The 16,477-nt window shown below is 42.9% G+C and overlaps 1 long non-coding RNA gene across 1 annotated transcript in view, besides 5 other annotated features; it reads right to left on the bottom strand.

Moving 5' to 3' along the window:
• The window catches only part of INCR1 (interferon stimulated noncoding RNA 1), a 172,297-nt gene that overhangs the window by 32,500 nt on the left and 123,320 nt on the right, over positions 1–16,477 (bottom strand). The window lies entirely within an intron of this gene.
• Positions 3,531–3,620: an enhancer, noted in NCBI's record as "active region_28163". NCBI's record gives its function as "activates an Ori minimal core promoter by ATAC-STARR-seq in GM12878 lymphoblastoid cells {active_cell/tissue: GM12878}" and the evidence as "EXISTENCE:reporter gene assay evidence [ECO:0000049][PMID:35858748]".
• Positions 3,831–4,080: an enhancer, noted in NCBI's record as "active region_28164". NCBI's record gives its function as "activates an Ori minimal core promoter by ATAC-STARR-seq in GM12878 lymphoblastoid cells {active_cell/tissue: GM12878}" and the evidence as "EXISTENCE:reporter gene assay evidence [ECO:0000049][PMID:35858748]".
• Positions 4,111–4,170: an enhancer, noted in NCBI's record as "active region_28165". NCBI's record gives its function as "activates an Ori minimal core promoter by ATAC-STARR-seq in GM12878 lymphoblastoid cells {active_cell/tissue: GM12878}" and the evidence as "EXISTENCE:reporter gene assay evidence [ECO:0000049][PMID:35858748]".
• Positions 9,179–9,473: a silencer, noted in NCBI's record as "tiled region #6415; HepG2 Repressive non-DNase unmatched - State 22:ReprW". NCBI's record gives its function as "represses a minimal TATA promoter and a strong SV40 promoter by Sharpr-MPRA in HepG2 cells {active_cell/tissue: HepG2}" and the evidence as "EXISTENCE:reporter gene assay evidence [ECO:0000049][PMID:27701403]".
• Positions 11,957–12,458: an enhancer, noted in NCBI's record as "H3K4me1 hESC enhancer chr9:5501887-5502388 (GRCh37/hg19 assembly coordinates)". NCBI's record gives its function as "activates a minimal SCP1, AML or CMV promoter by ChIP-STARR-seq in primed H9 embryonic stem cells {active_cell/tissue: H9 hESC(primed)}" and the evidence as "EXISTENCE:reporter gene assay evidence [ECO:0000049][PMID:30033119]".

The raw sequence follows: 16,477 nt of genomic DNA on the forward strand, positions 1-16,477 counted from the left end.
CAGCTGACCTCTATTTTAGGTTGAAGGTCCAGGCATTTCCTCCCCTTTCTCTACCTGTGAGAGGAGCCAACCAGAGCTGGCCAAGCCATGATGCAGCCCCTCGTGTGGCCATTTCCTTCCCAGCCTCTATTCATCTTTTACCACTCTCTAGCAGCAGAAGCTGGTGGGTTGTGGTTACCACTCTTGTTTGTTGCCCCACATCCCAGCTTCATTTTCTCAGGATCACTGCCAGGCAATAAGGAAAGTTTGGGGCCTGAAAAAATCTGCCCCAGGCCTGTGTAGAGCAAAATACCCTTGGACATTATACCCGCAGAAGGTTCCTCAAAATTATGTGACATTTTTCAGCTGATCGAACTTCCCTAACCTGACTTCCTGGAAAAGCCAAGAATTCAGAGAAAATGTAGGGCACTGACGAACCAATGAAGAGGTCAGTAAATTCTCCCGGAGTCCCCACTCAGGTCTGAAAAATGTTGTGTGAAACCTGTGGGTAGGGATAGCCTCCAAATATTTGCCCTCCCACAACTGTCCATAGGCCTAGTTGCCCTGCCATAGCTAGGTCCCAAATTGTTGCAAAAGCCATAAAGCCATATCCATGTAGATTCTGCCAAACCAGCTAACTGGCCAATCTGTTTTCCCACAACATGAGTTACCTTACTGGGATGTGCGTCTTCAGGTATATGCACTTGGATCCAGTTACAGCAAGTTACCCCAAGGAAATAATCAGACAAGGGCATAGAGCTGATTGTGAAGGGTCATTCATGGTGCCCATGGTTTTGTAATATCAACACTTACAAATTAGAAGCAACCTAAATTGCCATCACTAGGGGATGGCTTAAACAAACTATGGCATACCCATACAATAAAATATTTATCAGTCTTTATAAATAATCATGGGGTCTGTAATTACCAACATGGAAAAATGCCCATGATACCCTTGAAAAGTGATAAAACAGTTCACGGAATTACATTCTGATATAATGGTACTTATTAAAATTGCATTCTCCAGCCTGGGCGACAGAGCGAGACTCCGTCTCAAAAAAAAAAAAAAAAATTGCATTCATCAATGAGAACACTTGGACACAGGAAGGGGGACATCACACACTGGGGCCTGTCGTGGGGTGGGGGGAGGGGGGAGGGGTAGCATTAGGAGATATACCTAATGTAAATGACGAGTTAATGGGTGCAGCACACCTACATGGCACATGTATACATACGTAACAAACCTGCACGTTGTGCACATGCACCCTGGAACTTAAAGTATAATAATAATAATTAATTAATTAATTAAATTGCATTCATATGAATGGTACCTATTAAAATTGCATTGATATGCAATTTTAATAAGTACCATTATATCAGAATGTGTCCAGGGATCTACAGAAAATTATGTTCACAAAAATACTGACAGCAATTATCTCTGTGGTTGAGTATTTGGGTAATATTTACTGTTATTTTTTACTTTTTTTTGGTATTTAGAAAACACTTAGCAATGATACAATGTGCTATCTGAAAAAAACTAAACTTTTTAAAATATAAGTTTGAGGGGAAAATGAACTAAGTTAGTAATGTTTTGGGAATAAGATCATGGGTTGGCCACACCAAGCAGGTAATGGCACAAGGATAAGATAATTAACATTTATTAAGCACTTATTACATGCCAGCAGGCCCTGTTCTAAGCACTTTCCGTGTATCAACTCATTTCATTTGCACAACTCCACAAAGCAAGTCTTTTATGGTGCCCATTTTACAGATAATGAAATGAAACAGGCACCAAGAGAGGAAGCCGTTTGTTTGAAGTCTTACGGCTGGCAGGAGGTGAAACAGAGATTTAGACAGAGGTCTGCTTCCAAAATCTCTGAGCGTGACCCCTGTGCTCCCCTGCATAGGGCTGGCTTTCCTGCAGGGGAGGAGGGAAGGTGCTGAGGTCAGAGGAGGAGAGAGGAATGATGGAGGGAGTGGAGAGGGCAGAGGTGGCTGCTGACGATGGGGAACAAGACACTGTCCTCTTCCCCCTGCAGTTCCTGAAGGATCTTCATTCTCCCACTGGCCACCTGTTTACCTAACCCCTCTAAAGCCTCAGTTTCCTCTTTTGTAAAGTGAGGGAGCCTTCTCAGGCCATTCACCTTAATTAGTTCCTCTCTATGCCATATAAAGTCCTAGAAGCCAGTTCTGCTGTGGCACATATGCAGCCACCACCATCATCACCAGCATCCCACTTCCGGCTGAGAGACGCAGGCCCCGGTGTCTCCCAGTGTGCAAGTTGTCAGAGCAGGCTGGAAGAGAATTGGGCATTCTCTGTCTCTGCTGTAGAATGACCACCCTGAAGGATAATTCTGCTCACTTGTTATTCTCCTCACTGGACAGGAGACCCTGGAAGCAGAGACAATATCTGATGCACCTCTGCATTCCCACTACCTGGAACATAAAGTCGTTCAATAAATAAACATCCTCTGTTGAATGAATAACTGGAAAGTACAGCCATGTGGCCTTATGATTCCAGAGTAACAAGTAGGAAAAGCAACACTTGCATATTAATTTCTTTATTTTTTGTTTCTGTTTTCTACCTTATCTGGCACAGAGTTCAGAGTAGGTACAGTCATTAAAGAAGTCACTGATTTTTAACATGCCACTTAAGCAAAAGGAGCAAGAAGGCCCTATTTATGTTGATCAACTAATTCAAGAAATTCTGGGCTTTTGTTTTTTCTTTTCTTTTTTCTTTTTCTTTTTCTTTTTTTTTTTTTTTTTTTTTGAGACAGGGTTTCACTCCTGTTGCCCAGGCTGGAGTGCAATGGTGCGATCTTGGCTCACTGCAGCCTACCAGGCTCAAGAAATTCTCCTGCCTCAGCCTGCCGAGTAGCTGGGGCTACAGGCACATGCCACTGCACCCAGCTAATTTTTGTATTTTTTGTAGAGATAGGGTTTCACCATGCTGCCCAGGCTGGTCTTGAATTCCTGAGCTCAAATGATCTACCCACCTTGGCCATCCAAAGTGCTGGGATTACAGGTGTGAGCCACCACACCCAGCCAAATTCTAGGCTTTCTATGTAAATTATAAAATGTAATTTACAAAACTCTGTTCAGACATTTTATCACCAAGGCAGAGAGTGGTCAAATCACAGAGCTAGTAAGGAGTAGAACCAAATCCAGCTTCTCTGCCCTTGGTGTCAACTGCTTTTTCTACTTTCCACATAGCTCCACCCCTCCAGCCAGTCACAATGGTTTCTAAAAGTGGACCTGCCTTTGCAGTTATTCATTCAACAGAGGATGTTTATTTATTGAGCAACTTTATGTTTCAGGTAGTGGGAATGCAGAGGTGCACCAGATATTGTCTCTGCTTCCAGGGTCTCCTGTCCAGTGAGGAGAACAACAAGTGAGCAGAATTATCCCTCAAGGTGGTCTTTCTAAGCAGAGACCTGCCTTAATTCTGTTGCCTTAGGTGAGATCAACTTACTTCTGCATGCTTCCATTTCTCCTCCCCCTTGGTAGATTGAGAATCATGGTATCAGCTCTTCTTAGTGAAAGAAAATCTAAGAAACATAGACAGGTGTCCACATCTTGAAGTAGCTGAAGTTTGTCTTTGGGTTCTCAGCTTCCTTTTCTCCCTCTTGCTTACTTCCCTTCAAGGATTGCTGCCATCAGTGTCATCAAACCCAGGGATTCCCTAATGCTAATCCACCAATTAGAGCACGGCTGGTTACTACAGAACCACTGATGAGTTTCAAAAAATGCAGACTTCTGGACCCCACCCTTGGAGATTTTGAATCAGGAGGTCTTAGGTAGTGCCCAGGCACCTCTATGTTTCAGGTTCCCCAGGGGATTCTAACCTGCAGCCATATTGGGGAACCACTGACCTAACACGAAAACATGAGTCAGCTGTCTCAACTGTATTGAAAGTGATGAATCATCATTTCACTTTAAAAAGAAAAAAATATGAGCTGAAACCAAAGTCATTGTGAGAACCTTTCATTTCCTTTACCTGAGTTTGAATTCAGGTTTCCTTTACTTGAGTTTGAGTTTAGAAGTCTTCTATACTTGGTCCAAGCATTTTTACGGAGATTCCCAAGGTCTTAAGGCAAACAGACTTAAGACCTGTCCTCAGTTTAGTCCTGGGAACATGCTGTAACCCTGATCAGCCCTGGCTAGGGGGACCCTGGGAAACTGGCTGGCTCTGGAGATCCTTCAGGCCAGAGTTGCTGGGAACCACACCGGGTTCATCTTACACCATGCCTAGGTGCTGGGGTCCAATAGTCTTGTCTCCTCTGGCTTCCCAGAGCCAGAACTAGGAAGACGAGAAGGCTTTGGGATATGGCTGGCTTCCAGAGACTGAATCAGCAACTCATATTCTCAAGACCGAGGTGGGTAGGCCTGACACAGAAGGGTCAGGAGGCTGCTAGAATCTATGACAGGGCAGGAACAGCGCTGAGGCAGCAGAAACTGAGAAAGCAGAAGTCACCAGAAAGAGAAAAGAAGTTCAAAGTAGAGGGAAAGACTGAGGAAATAAGCAGGGTGAGTCGAACAGATGAGATGTGCAGAGAGAAGCAGATATGAGCTGAGGGAGAGAGACTCAATGAACCACGAGAGGTGGGCAAAGAAAGCAGCCAGTCCTGAGGTTACCTTGTTTCTGACAGTTTGGGTCCTGCCCATCCTTTCTTTTTTTTTTTTTTTTTTAAGTGATTGATTGTTGGTTGTTTTTTTTTATTATTATTATACTTTAAGCTCTAGGGTACATGTGCACAACGTGCAGGTTTGTTACATATGTATACATGTGCCATATTGGTGTGCTGCACCCATTAACTCATCATTAAACATTAGGTATATCTCCTCATGCTATCCCTCCCCCCTGTCCCCACCCCACAACAGGCCCCAGTGTGTGATGTTCCCCTTCATGTGTCCATGTGTTCTCATTGTTCAGTTCCCACCTATGAGCGAGAACATGCAGTGTTTGGTTTTTTGTCCTTGCAATAGTTTGCTGAGAATTATGGTTTCCAGCTTCATCCATGTCCCTACAAAGGACATGCACTCATCCTTTTTTATGGCTGCATAGTAGTCCATGGTGTATATGTGCCACATTTTCTTAATCTAGTCTATCATTGTTGGACATTTGGGTTGGTTCCAAGTCTTTGCTATTGTAAATAGTGCCATGATAAACGTACGTGTGCATGTGTCTTTATAGTAGCAAGATTTATAATCCTTTGGGTATATACCCAGTAATGGGATGGCTGGGTCAAATGGTATTTCTAGTTCTAGATCCTTAAGGAATAACCACACTGCCTTCCACAATGCTTGAACTAGTTTACAGTCCCAACAAAAGTGTAAAAGTGTTCCTATTTCTCCACATCCTCTCCAGCACCTGTTGTTTCCTGACTTTTTAATGATCGCCATTCTAACTGGTGTGAGATGATATCTCATTATGGTTTTGATTTGAATTTCTCTGATGGCCAGTGATGATGAGCATTTTTTCATGTGTCTTTTGGCTGCATAAATGTCTTCTTTTAAGAAGTGTCTGTTCATATCCTTCACCCACTTTTTGATGGGGTTGTTTTTTTCTTGTAAATTTGTTTGAGTTCATTGTAGATTCTGGATATTAGCCATTTGTCAGATGGGTAGATTGCAAAAATGTTCTCCCATTCTGTAGCTTGCCTGTTCACTCTGATGGTAGTTTCTTTTGCTGTGCAGAAGCTCTTTAGTTTTATTAGATCCCATTTGTCAATTTTGGCTTCTGTTGCCATTGCGTTTGGTGTTTTAGACATGAAGTCCTTGCCCATGCCTATGTCCTGAATGGTATTGCCTAGGTTTTCTTCTAGGGTTTTTATGGTTTTAGGTCTAACATTTAAGTCTTTCATCCATCTTGAATTAATTTTTGTAAAAGGTGTAAGGAAGGGATCCAGTTTCAGCCTTCTACATATGGCTAGCCAGTTTTCCCAGCACCATTTATTAAATAGGGAATCCTTTCCCCATTTCTTGTTCTTGTCAGGTTTGTCAAAGATCAGATAGTTGTAGATAGGCTGCATTATTTCTGAGGGCTGCCCATCCTTATATCACCAATTCAATTGAGGAGACTCGACCAAATGTTTTATTTTTCTAATAACTGTTGCCAGTAGTATTCTGGGAAATCCTTCTAGCCTGTTGGGCAGTGAGTGACCCTCATCATATATCAGTGCAATTTCATGATTTGTAGATCACTTATTATGACTCAGTCTAGTCCCATGTTTTCTAATAGCTTTTGAGATCTAATTCATATACCATGCAATTCACTCATTTAGAGCAGGGGTTCCCAAACCCTGGACTGTGAACCAGTACCCATCCATGGCCTGTTAGGAACTGGGCTGCACAGCAGGAGGTGAGCACCCAGCAAATGAGCATTACCACCTGAGCTCTACCTCCTGTCAGATCAGTGGCAGCATTAGATTCTCATAGCAGTGCAAATCCTGTTGTAAACTGAGCATGCAATGGATCTACGTTGCTTTTCTTATGAGAATCTAACTAATGCCTGATGATGTGAGGTGGAACAGTTTCATCCCAAAACCATTTCCACCACCCTTCCCACAATGCACGGAAAAATTGTCTACGACGAAACTGGTCCCTGGTGCCAAAAAGGTTGGGGATTGCTGATTTAGAGCATACCTTTCAGTGGTTTTTAGTATATGCACAGAGTTCTGCAACCAACAATATAATTAATTTTGAAATATTTTCATCATCCCAAAATGAAATCCCATCCCTCTAGCAGTCACCCCCTAGTTCCCCTCATTCCTCCCAGTCTTAAGTAATTATTTCCTGTCTCTATGGATTTGCCTATTCTGGACATTTCGTCTAAATGGAATCATACAATATATACAATCTTTTGTGACAGGCTTCTTTCACATAGCATAATGTTTTCAAGGTTCACACACACTGTATCACGTATCAGGACTGCATTCATTTCTAAAGCTGAGATATATTCCATTGTATGGACATACTGTTTTTTATTGTCTCATTCATCAGTCTCTGGACATCTGGTTTGTTTCCAATTTTTTGATACTAAGAATAATGCTTCTATGAACATTCATGCAGACATTTTTGTGTGTACATTTCATTTCTTTTGAAATATACCTAGGAGTAGAACACTGGGTCGCTATGTTTAACATTTTGAGGAAGTGACAGAGTTCATCTCATTTAAAATTCCAATCCCATATTTTACAAATATGAGATATTTTACAAATATCTCTCCTCCCAGAATAGGTGAAACTTATGACCCTGCAATCTTCAAGTTGGGCAGAGAAATGGCTCAGGTCTCAGGCGGTTGCAGTCTAAGGGTAGTGGCCTGTGATAATGGCTGGGGCCTCCCATGCCTTTGGCTTCCTTCTCTTCTGCATCACACGAAGCCATAGTAACTGTTGGGGTTTTTGGTCATCCTTGAGGACTCAGGAGCCTGGGATGTGAATGATATCCCCATTTTCTTCATTCCTGAAAATAAGTCTACAGCCCTTTTCACTCCCCGGGTGTGGGACACCCAGTGAACCTCCCATTTTCAGAAACTTCAGGCAAGAAGCAGGTATTAATCTCTATACAAGGCACTCTCAAACTTTGGAGATATGCGTTTAGCACCCCTTTTCTCTCCCCAAGAATGAGAGGAGACTCAGATAATATACATCCACTCTAGGCTCTCGGAACCTTCTCCCTGTCTCTTAGTCTCCTTCTTACTTGTCTTTGTTCAAGGCCAGTGGGCCAGTTTAATTTCTCTCCTCCTCCTCTCTTCTCTCCTCTCATTTCCTGCCCCCAACCCTGCACTTGAAAGACTCATTGAAGGAATTAGGCCTGACTTTATTTTTTTTACCATATTAACAAAACGATATTTCTTTTTGAAAAATTTATTTTTATTATTTTTAAAGACAGAGTCTTGCTCTGTCACCCTGGCTGGAGTGCAGTGGTGGAATCATAGTTCACTGCAACCTCAAACTCCTGGACTAAAATGATCCTCCCTCCTCAGCCTTTCAAGTAGCTGGGACTATAGGTGTGTGCCACCACTCCTGGCTTTTTAATTATTTTTTTAATTGACACATAAATAATTATATAGATTTATGGAGTAGAGTGTGCTATTTCGACACATGTCTAAGATGTATTATAATTAAATCATAGTAATTAGCATATCCATCATCTGAAACTTTTATTTCTTTGTGTTGGAAACACTCAAAATCCTCTCTTCTAGCTATTTGAAAATATAGAATACATTGTTGTTAACTGTAGTCACCCTACAGTGCTATAGAGGCCTTACTTAAATTTGACCTTTGTGAGTTCAGTAACTTTTCCTCAACAAGAAGCCATCTACCCAGTTATTTCTTCACTATTCAGTAACATGGGGCAGAAAAAAATACTTAATCAGTGCCCCACATCAATCTGTTACACTTATAATAAATCTCTTTTTATTTTGAAAAGTTCTTTTCTGTGAATGAGCCAAACCTAGACCTCTCTCCTTCTAAGAACAAACAAGTATTTCAGTTGCTCCGGCCAGAACTTCAATTCACACCTTTCCTTCTCTTACTTTGAGACCAGGCCTTTCTTAGCACATAGAGACCAGGTGGGACTGCAAGCCAAGTGTGGACTTTGAGGATGATGACCAGTGACTCACCTCCAGCCCCTGGCTGACCATGACACAAGGGAGGCCAATTTTCGGGCTGGCCCCCATGTGGTCTCCCTCCTCCTCCTCTCTTCCCCCAGCTGCTCATGACCTGCCTGCCCCACCCCAGAAATTCCTTGTCCCCATTTTCTTTTTCATTTGAGACAGAGTCTTGCTCTGTTGCCCAGGCTGGAGTGCAGTGGCACGATCTCAGCTCACTGCAACCTCCGCCTCCTGGGTTCAAGCAATTCTCCTGCCTCAGCCTCCCAAGTAGCTGGGATTACAGGTACCTGCCACCATGCCTGGCTAAGTTTTGTATTTTTTAGTAGGGATGGGGTTTCATCATGTTGGCCAGGCTGATCTCGAACTCCTGACCTCAGGTGATCTGCCTGCCTCGGCCTCCCAAATTGCTGGGATTTCAGGCGTGAGCCACCGTGCCCGGCCCCCTCTCCCCATTTTCAAGAGATTAAGCTGGTCTTCACCTGCTTCCTTCACATTCCAGATAAACTCACAGCAGATCCCTGCTTCCTGACTTTGGAAACGTTGCTAAAGCAGGTTCTAGATAAACTGCTGCCTCCTCATTTCTCACACCTTCCTTAGCTCTTGCTCTTTGCCTGTTTTCCCAAAATTCAAGTGCATTTCTTTCTCATCCTCAAGCTGTATTTTTTTCCCTTATAAAACCAAGCAGAGTGGGAAATACTGGACTTATTTTTTTGGACCTGAAAGCATTAACATTGATTTAGCACCTGCTGTATGACAAGCACTGTTCTAGGTGATTTACATGAATATTTACATCATGTCATATTACAATATATTACATTACATCGCATCACATCACATACATTGTATTGCATCATATTATATTACATTGAACTACATTTGCATTACACTGCATTTGGAGGAAAATATCTTGGGAGGAAAGGACAGAAATGGTTGTAGCATTTCTTACCTACTCTGCCCTACATTCACAGGGTGATCTTGGTTAAGCTCTGTAATCTCTCTTTGTATTAACTTTCCCTTCTATAAGATAGGAGGGGCCTCATAGATTGGCTGGTGACATAATTATTAAACTCATTATATTCTTATTATAGTCTAATAGTTTATGACCAAAATTCTAATTTTCTATTTCCAAGTGACAATGCAATGTTGAAGGGGGTGCCTAATTCTACACACAGACACACACACACAATTTAGCTATGCCTCTCAGGAATCTTCTATTAAAAAGAGAACAAAGCTAAATTAAATAAATTGCCAGCCAGGCATGGTGGCTGACACCCGTAATCCCAACAATTTGGGAGGCTGAGGTGGATGGATCACTTGAGCTCAGGAGTACAAGACTGTTAGGTTTTGAAGGGAAGGCGAGACTTAAAGAAAGACACACACACATAAGAGGGAAGTTCAACAACAAATGCAGACTTTATATCCAGCATAAAACCTACAGAAGTCAGAGACCAGTCTAATGCCAGTACCTGCTGCTGCTTATAGGCTGGGGCAATTTATAGGTATGGGCAGGAGGGGTCTGGGCAGTATGGCTTGCTGCCTGGCAGGAAATTGATAAGATGGTCCCATGATGAGGCAGTTCTGGTCCTTGTTCAGGCAGGATGTCATCATGGTGTTCCTTGGACCTTTGCCCAGAAGGTCTTTGCCTTCTAGTTTAGCATAAAAAGGAAGAGGGGCATTGTTAATTATCTGGCTGTTTCCTGCTAAATAGGAGCACTGCACTCAGGCTTTGGGTTTTCAGCAGTGGGTGTCCGACTTTAGAGTTGTTTTCCTGGAAGTGCTGATACCAAACTTGGCAGAGAAGAATGGTATCGTGTTTCTATATAGCTGCCTGGACAAGGGAGTTCGGCCTTTGGGAGATAAAGCGGGATATGAAGGTGCGCACACATGGGCCAATTGTCAGTATTATGAGGGAGAAAATTAGGGACCCTAAGACAGGGGTTACCCAAGGTATCCACTTTAGGAAGGATGACCCCTGCCAACAGTGAATGACTTGATGTTGGATTTCTGCAGCCGTGTAATGGAGCCTGTGGGCTGCGTTGCGAACAATGCCGGCTTCATTAACATAAAAACAGCATTCTTCTTGGACATATACACATGTGCCCCAAGACAAGAATGTTAATCCAAACTGCACCATTTTGTAAGCGCCCTGCTATTTTGCAGACCTTGGTAAAAGTGACACATTTCATGGGTTTTTGGGCCATGAGAAACACCCTGCCTAACCACTTGACCACAAGGCCCACAAAGGCCCAACTAAAGAAATATCTCTATCATATCCTTCTGGGCAAAGGTCCAAGGAACACCACGATGACATCCCGCCTGAACAAGGACCAGAACTGCCTCATGACGGGAACATCTTATCAATATCCTACCGGGCAGCAAGCCATACTGCCCAGACCCCTCCCGCCCATACCTATAAATTACCCCAGCCTGTAAGCAGCGGTAGGCACTGGCGTTAGGCTGGTCCCCGACTTCTACAGTGTGCATATTTCTTTAACCCTCGCCTTCCCTTCAAAACCTAACAGGGATCAGCCTGGGCAATATGGCAAAATGCCATCTCTGCAAAAAAATACGAAAATTAGCTGGGTGTGGTGGCGCATGGCTGTGGTTCCAGCTACTTGAGAGGCTGAAGTGGTAGGATCGCTTGAGCCCCGCAGGTTGAAGTTGCAGGCAGCCCTGATTATGCCACTGCACTCCAGCCTGAGTGACAGAGTCAGACCCTGTCTCAAATAAATAAATAAATAAAAATAAATTAGAAACACATACAGCCCTTTGTTGATTTCTTTAAATGTTTTCTTCTTGTTATTTTTCAGTAATCTAACTATACTCTCCATTATTGCTTTTAAAAAATTATTTCTGTCTTTACAAAAGTAATTTGTGCTCATGGCAGACTATTTAAAAAACAAAATGAAGCCAAAGAAAGAAAATAAAAATTAACTGCAGGAGAAGGAGGCAAGAGAGCTAACTAGATGCAGCCAGGAGAAACACCTCTCACAGAGATCTTCCCAGATTTTCAGAGGGAAGGCATCAAGAGTGGACAGAGGGAAGACACAGAGGCTGGGCTGAAGCAGGAGGAAGCTGAAAACCCTGCATGAGGCTACCACACACTGGGACTTGTTCCTGGCCCCCAACAACTCCTGCAGAAGGGATGAGTTGAACAGGCAAGGAGAAACATGCTCTTGCAATGGGTCTCTGGAATCACGACAGGAAGAGACCCCTCAACCACTGTGGACACTTGAGTTGGCAAGGAGAGCTGCTTAGAGAAGTGGTAGGGGCAGAGCTCCAGGTGATGTGGAGCCCAGTAGGTTTCGTGCGGGAGTGTTTGTGGTGGAGTACAGCCAGCGATGTCCATCTCCCTAGGCTCAACTTGCTTCCATAGGAGACTTTAGCACCAGGGGAGCTGTCGGTCCTAAATTCTGCAGGGCGGTGTTGCCCATGAGATAGGGCCAGTCTGACTTCAGCACCCTTTGGTCTGCTAGCCTTTCCCAGGGCCCCAGCCTGTCCATGCCTGCTTGCAGTGCAGCCACCAGGTACCTCCTGGGAGCCCACATCATAGCACCTGTGCTGGCAGACCATGCCAGACTGTCAGAGTGCTGCAGCAGAGTAGCCCCCATGGACACACACCAGCCCACCCAGCTCATCCCCTAACTACAGCCTCCCCCTTGTTGCTTTGCTTGCACACACTTGCCCACAGCCACCCTTCATATCACTTTGCCAGTACCTGCGTGTACAGGCAGACCTCACCTTCCCTTCCCCACCAGCATACGTGTGAGCGTGTGCCCTGCCATGCCACTGCTGCTGGTGTGAGTATATCCTGCCCCTCCTTTCCCTGCAGCACTGTCCACTGTGATGGCAATGGCATTGTCATCAGAGTGTTGTTGGGCATGGAGCTGCCAGCTCCGCCCCAGCCAGTCCCCAGCCCTGCCCCTATGCGAACACTGCCTATGGCACAAAACTAGGCACAAAAACCAGCAGGCCCACCCCTGCCCTGAGCGGCCAATGCCTCCCATGTGAATGTGCACAGGGGGCACACACAGCCCTGCATCTAGCAGCATCCTGCTCCCATGCTAATCCCAACACTGGCACAAACATGTGTACAGTTGCTGGTGAGGGCCCCCCAACCTGCCTGAGCCATGCTGCCACTGCTGCTTCTATGAACACCTGCACGAAGGCTGGCACTCCGGCATCCACTAGCACCTTGCTGCAGCCAACAAGTGTGCACCCCACTGCACCGCTGCTGCCACTGCGACTGGCACATGCGACTGAGGATGGATCATGTTTCCACAGCCCTACAAAGCACTTTGGCTGGCACCATGCCTCAGAGAGTTGTGATCAGAGGTCCAGGAGCACCTCAGGCCCCTCCAACATAGCAGGTTCCTAACCTTAAGGAGCCAGAGAACAAGACCGGGGCCTGATACCAGTGCCCCAGAGTTATAACACACAGTTTGGGAGTCCTGAGCTGAGACTTGGGCCCCTAAAATCTTCCAGAAATGAAGCCAGTCTACTGAACCCACCTTATACCACAATCAAACCCCGAAGGTCATTAAATATGATATAAAAAGGGGGAAAAAAAAACAAAAACAGCAACATCAAAGATTGAAGGAACATCATTCTACAAAGATGAGAAAGAACCAAGATAAGAACTCTAACAACTAAAAAGCCAGATGGTCTTCTTTCCTCCAAACAATCACACTAGTTCTCCAATAATGGTTCTTAACCAGGCTGAGATAGCTGAAATGACAGAAGTAGAATTCAGAATATTGATAAGAACAAAGATCATCGCAATTCAGGAGAACACTGAAACCCAATTTAAGGAAGCTAAGAATCACAATAAAACAATACAGGAGGTGACAGACAAAATAGCCAGTATAGAAAAGAATGTAACTAAACTGATAGAGCTGAAAAATATACTACAAGAATTTCATAATGCAATTGCAAGTATTAATAGCAGAATAGAACAAGCTGAGGAAAGAATCTCAGAGCTTGAAGACTGACTTTCTGAATTAAGACAGACAAGGAGACAGTCAGACAAGAACAGAGAAAAAAGAATAAAAAGGAACAAACAAAACCTTTAAGAAAAATGAGATTATGTAAACAGACCAAATCTATGACTTATTGGTGTCCTTGAAAGAGATGGGGAGAATGGGAGCAACCTGGAAAACATATTCCAGCATATCATTCATGAGAACTTCCCAACCTAGCTAGAGAGGCCAACATTCAAATTCAGGAAATGCAGAGAACCCCCACAAGATACTTCACAAGACTGTCCCCAAGACACATAATTATCAGATTCTCCAAGATGGAAATGAAAGAAAAAAATGCTAAAGGCAGCTACATAGAAAGGAAAGGCCATCTACAAAGGGAAGCCCATCAGACTAATAGTAGACCTCTCAGCAGAAATCCTACGAGCCAGAAGAGATTGGAGGCCTATATTCAACATTATTAAAGAAAAGAAATTCCAACCAAGAATTTCATATCCAGCCAAACTAAGATTCATAAGTGAAGAAATAAGATATTTTTCAGACAACTCAACGCTGAGGTAATACATTACCACCAGGCCTGCCTAACAAGAGTTCCTGAAAGAAGCACTAAATATAATAAGGAAAGACAGTTACCAGCCTCTACAAAAATGCAGTTAAGTATATAGACCAGTGACAGTATAAAGAAACCACACAAACAATGCACAGAATGGCAAGCTGGATAAAGAAGCAAGACCCAATGGCATACTGTCTTCAAGGGACTCATATCACATGCAGTAACACACATAGGCTCAAAATAAAGGGATGGGAAAAAATTTACCAAGAAAATAGAAAACAGAAAAAAGCAGGGGTTGCAATCCTAATTTCAGACAAAACAGACTTTAAACCAACAAAGACCAAAAAAGAAGAAGAAGGGCATTACATAATGATAAAGAGTTCAACAAGAAGATATAACTATCCTAAATATATATGCACCCAACACAGGAGCACTCAGATTCATAAAGCAAGTTCTTAGAGACCTTCAAAGAGACTCAGACTCCCATACAACAATAGGGGGAGACTTCAACACCCCACTGACAATATTAGACAGATCATCAAGTCAGAAAATTAAAAAAGATATTCAGGACCTGAACTTAACACTGGACCAAATGGACCTCATAGACGTCTACAGAACTCTCCACCCAAAAACAACAGAATATACATTCTTCTCACTGCCTGCCACATGGCACATACTCCCAAATCAACGACACCATCAGACATAAAACAATCATCAGCAAATGCAAAAGACCAAAATCATACCAACCACTCTGTAGAACCACAGTGAAATAAAAATAGAAATCAAGACTAAAAAAAAAATTGCTCAGAACCATTCAATTACATGGAAATTAAACAATCTGCTCCTGCATGACATTTGGGTAAATAATGAAATAAAGGCAGAAATCATTAAGTTTTTTTAAACCAATGAAAACAAAGACACAACATACCAGAATCTCCAGGACACAGCTAAGGCAGCGTTACAAGGGAAATTTATAGCACTAGGTGCCCACATCAAAAAGTTAGAAAGGTCTCAAATTAACAACCTAACACCACAACAAAAAGAACTAGAGAAGTAAGAGCAAACCAACCCCAAAGCTAGCAGAAGACGAGAAATAACCAAAATCAGAGCTGAAATGCAGGAGAATGAGACATGAAAAACCATTCACAAGATCAATGAATCCAGGAGCTGGTTTTCTGAAAAAATAAATAAGATAGATAGACTGCTAGCTAGACTAATAAAGAAGAAAAGAGAGAAAATCCAAATAAACACAATCAGAAACAACAAAGGGAATATTACCACTCACCCCGTAGAAATACAAATAACCATCGGAGACTACTATGAACACCTCTATGCACACAAACTAGAAAATCTAGAAGAAATTTATAAATGCTTGGACACATACACCCCCAAGACTAAACCAGGAAGAAACTGAATCCCTGCACAGATGAATAATGAGCTCCATTACTGAATCAGTAATAAATAGCCTACCAACCCCCACCCCCAAAAAAATGCCCAGGACCTGATGGATTCACAGTCAAATTCTACCAGATGTACAAAGAAGAGCTGACACCATTCCTAGATAAATTATTCCAAAAAAATTGAGGAGAAGGGGCTCCTCCCCAGGTCATTCTATGAGGCCAGCATAATCCTGATACTAAAACCTGGAAGAGACACAATAACATCAACAAAAAACTTCAGGCCAATATCCTTGATGGACATTGATGCAAGAATCCTTAACAAAATACTAACACACTGAATGCAGCAGCACATCAAAAAGCAAATCCACCATGATCTAGTAGGCTTTATACCCAGGAGGCAAGGTTGGTTCAACATACTCAAATCAATAAATGTGATTAATTACATAGACAGGACTAAAGACAAAAACCACATGATTATCTCAATAGATGTAGAAAGGTTTTTTATAAAATTCAACATTTCTTTATGTTAAAAATGCTCAACAAACTAGGTATTGAAAGAACATGCCTCAAAATAAGAGCCAACTATGACGAACTCACAGCCAACATCATACTGAATAGGCAAAGGCTGGAAGCATTCCCCTTGAAAACCAGCACAAGACAAAAATGCCCTCTCTCACCACTCCTATTCAACATAGTATTGGAAGTCCTGGCCAGAGCACTCAGGCAAGAGAAAGAAAGAAAAGGCATCCAAATAGGAAGAAGGGAAGTTAAACAATCCCTGTTTGCAGATGACATGATTCTATATCTAGAAAACCCCTAGTCTCAGCCCAAATGCTCCTTAAGCTGATAAACAACTTCAGCAAAGTTTCAGGATACAAAATAAATGTACAAAAATCACTAGCATTCCTATACACCAGCAACAGCGAAGCCGAGAGCCAAATCAGGAACA

This window comes from Homo sapiens, chromosome 9, assembly GCF_000001405.40.
Source record: "Homo sapiens chromosome 9, GRCh38.p14 Primary Assembly".
Taxonomy (NCBI): Eukaryota; Metazoa; Chordata; class Mammalia; order Primates; family Hominidae; genus Homo; species Homo sapiens.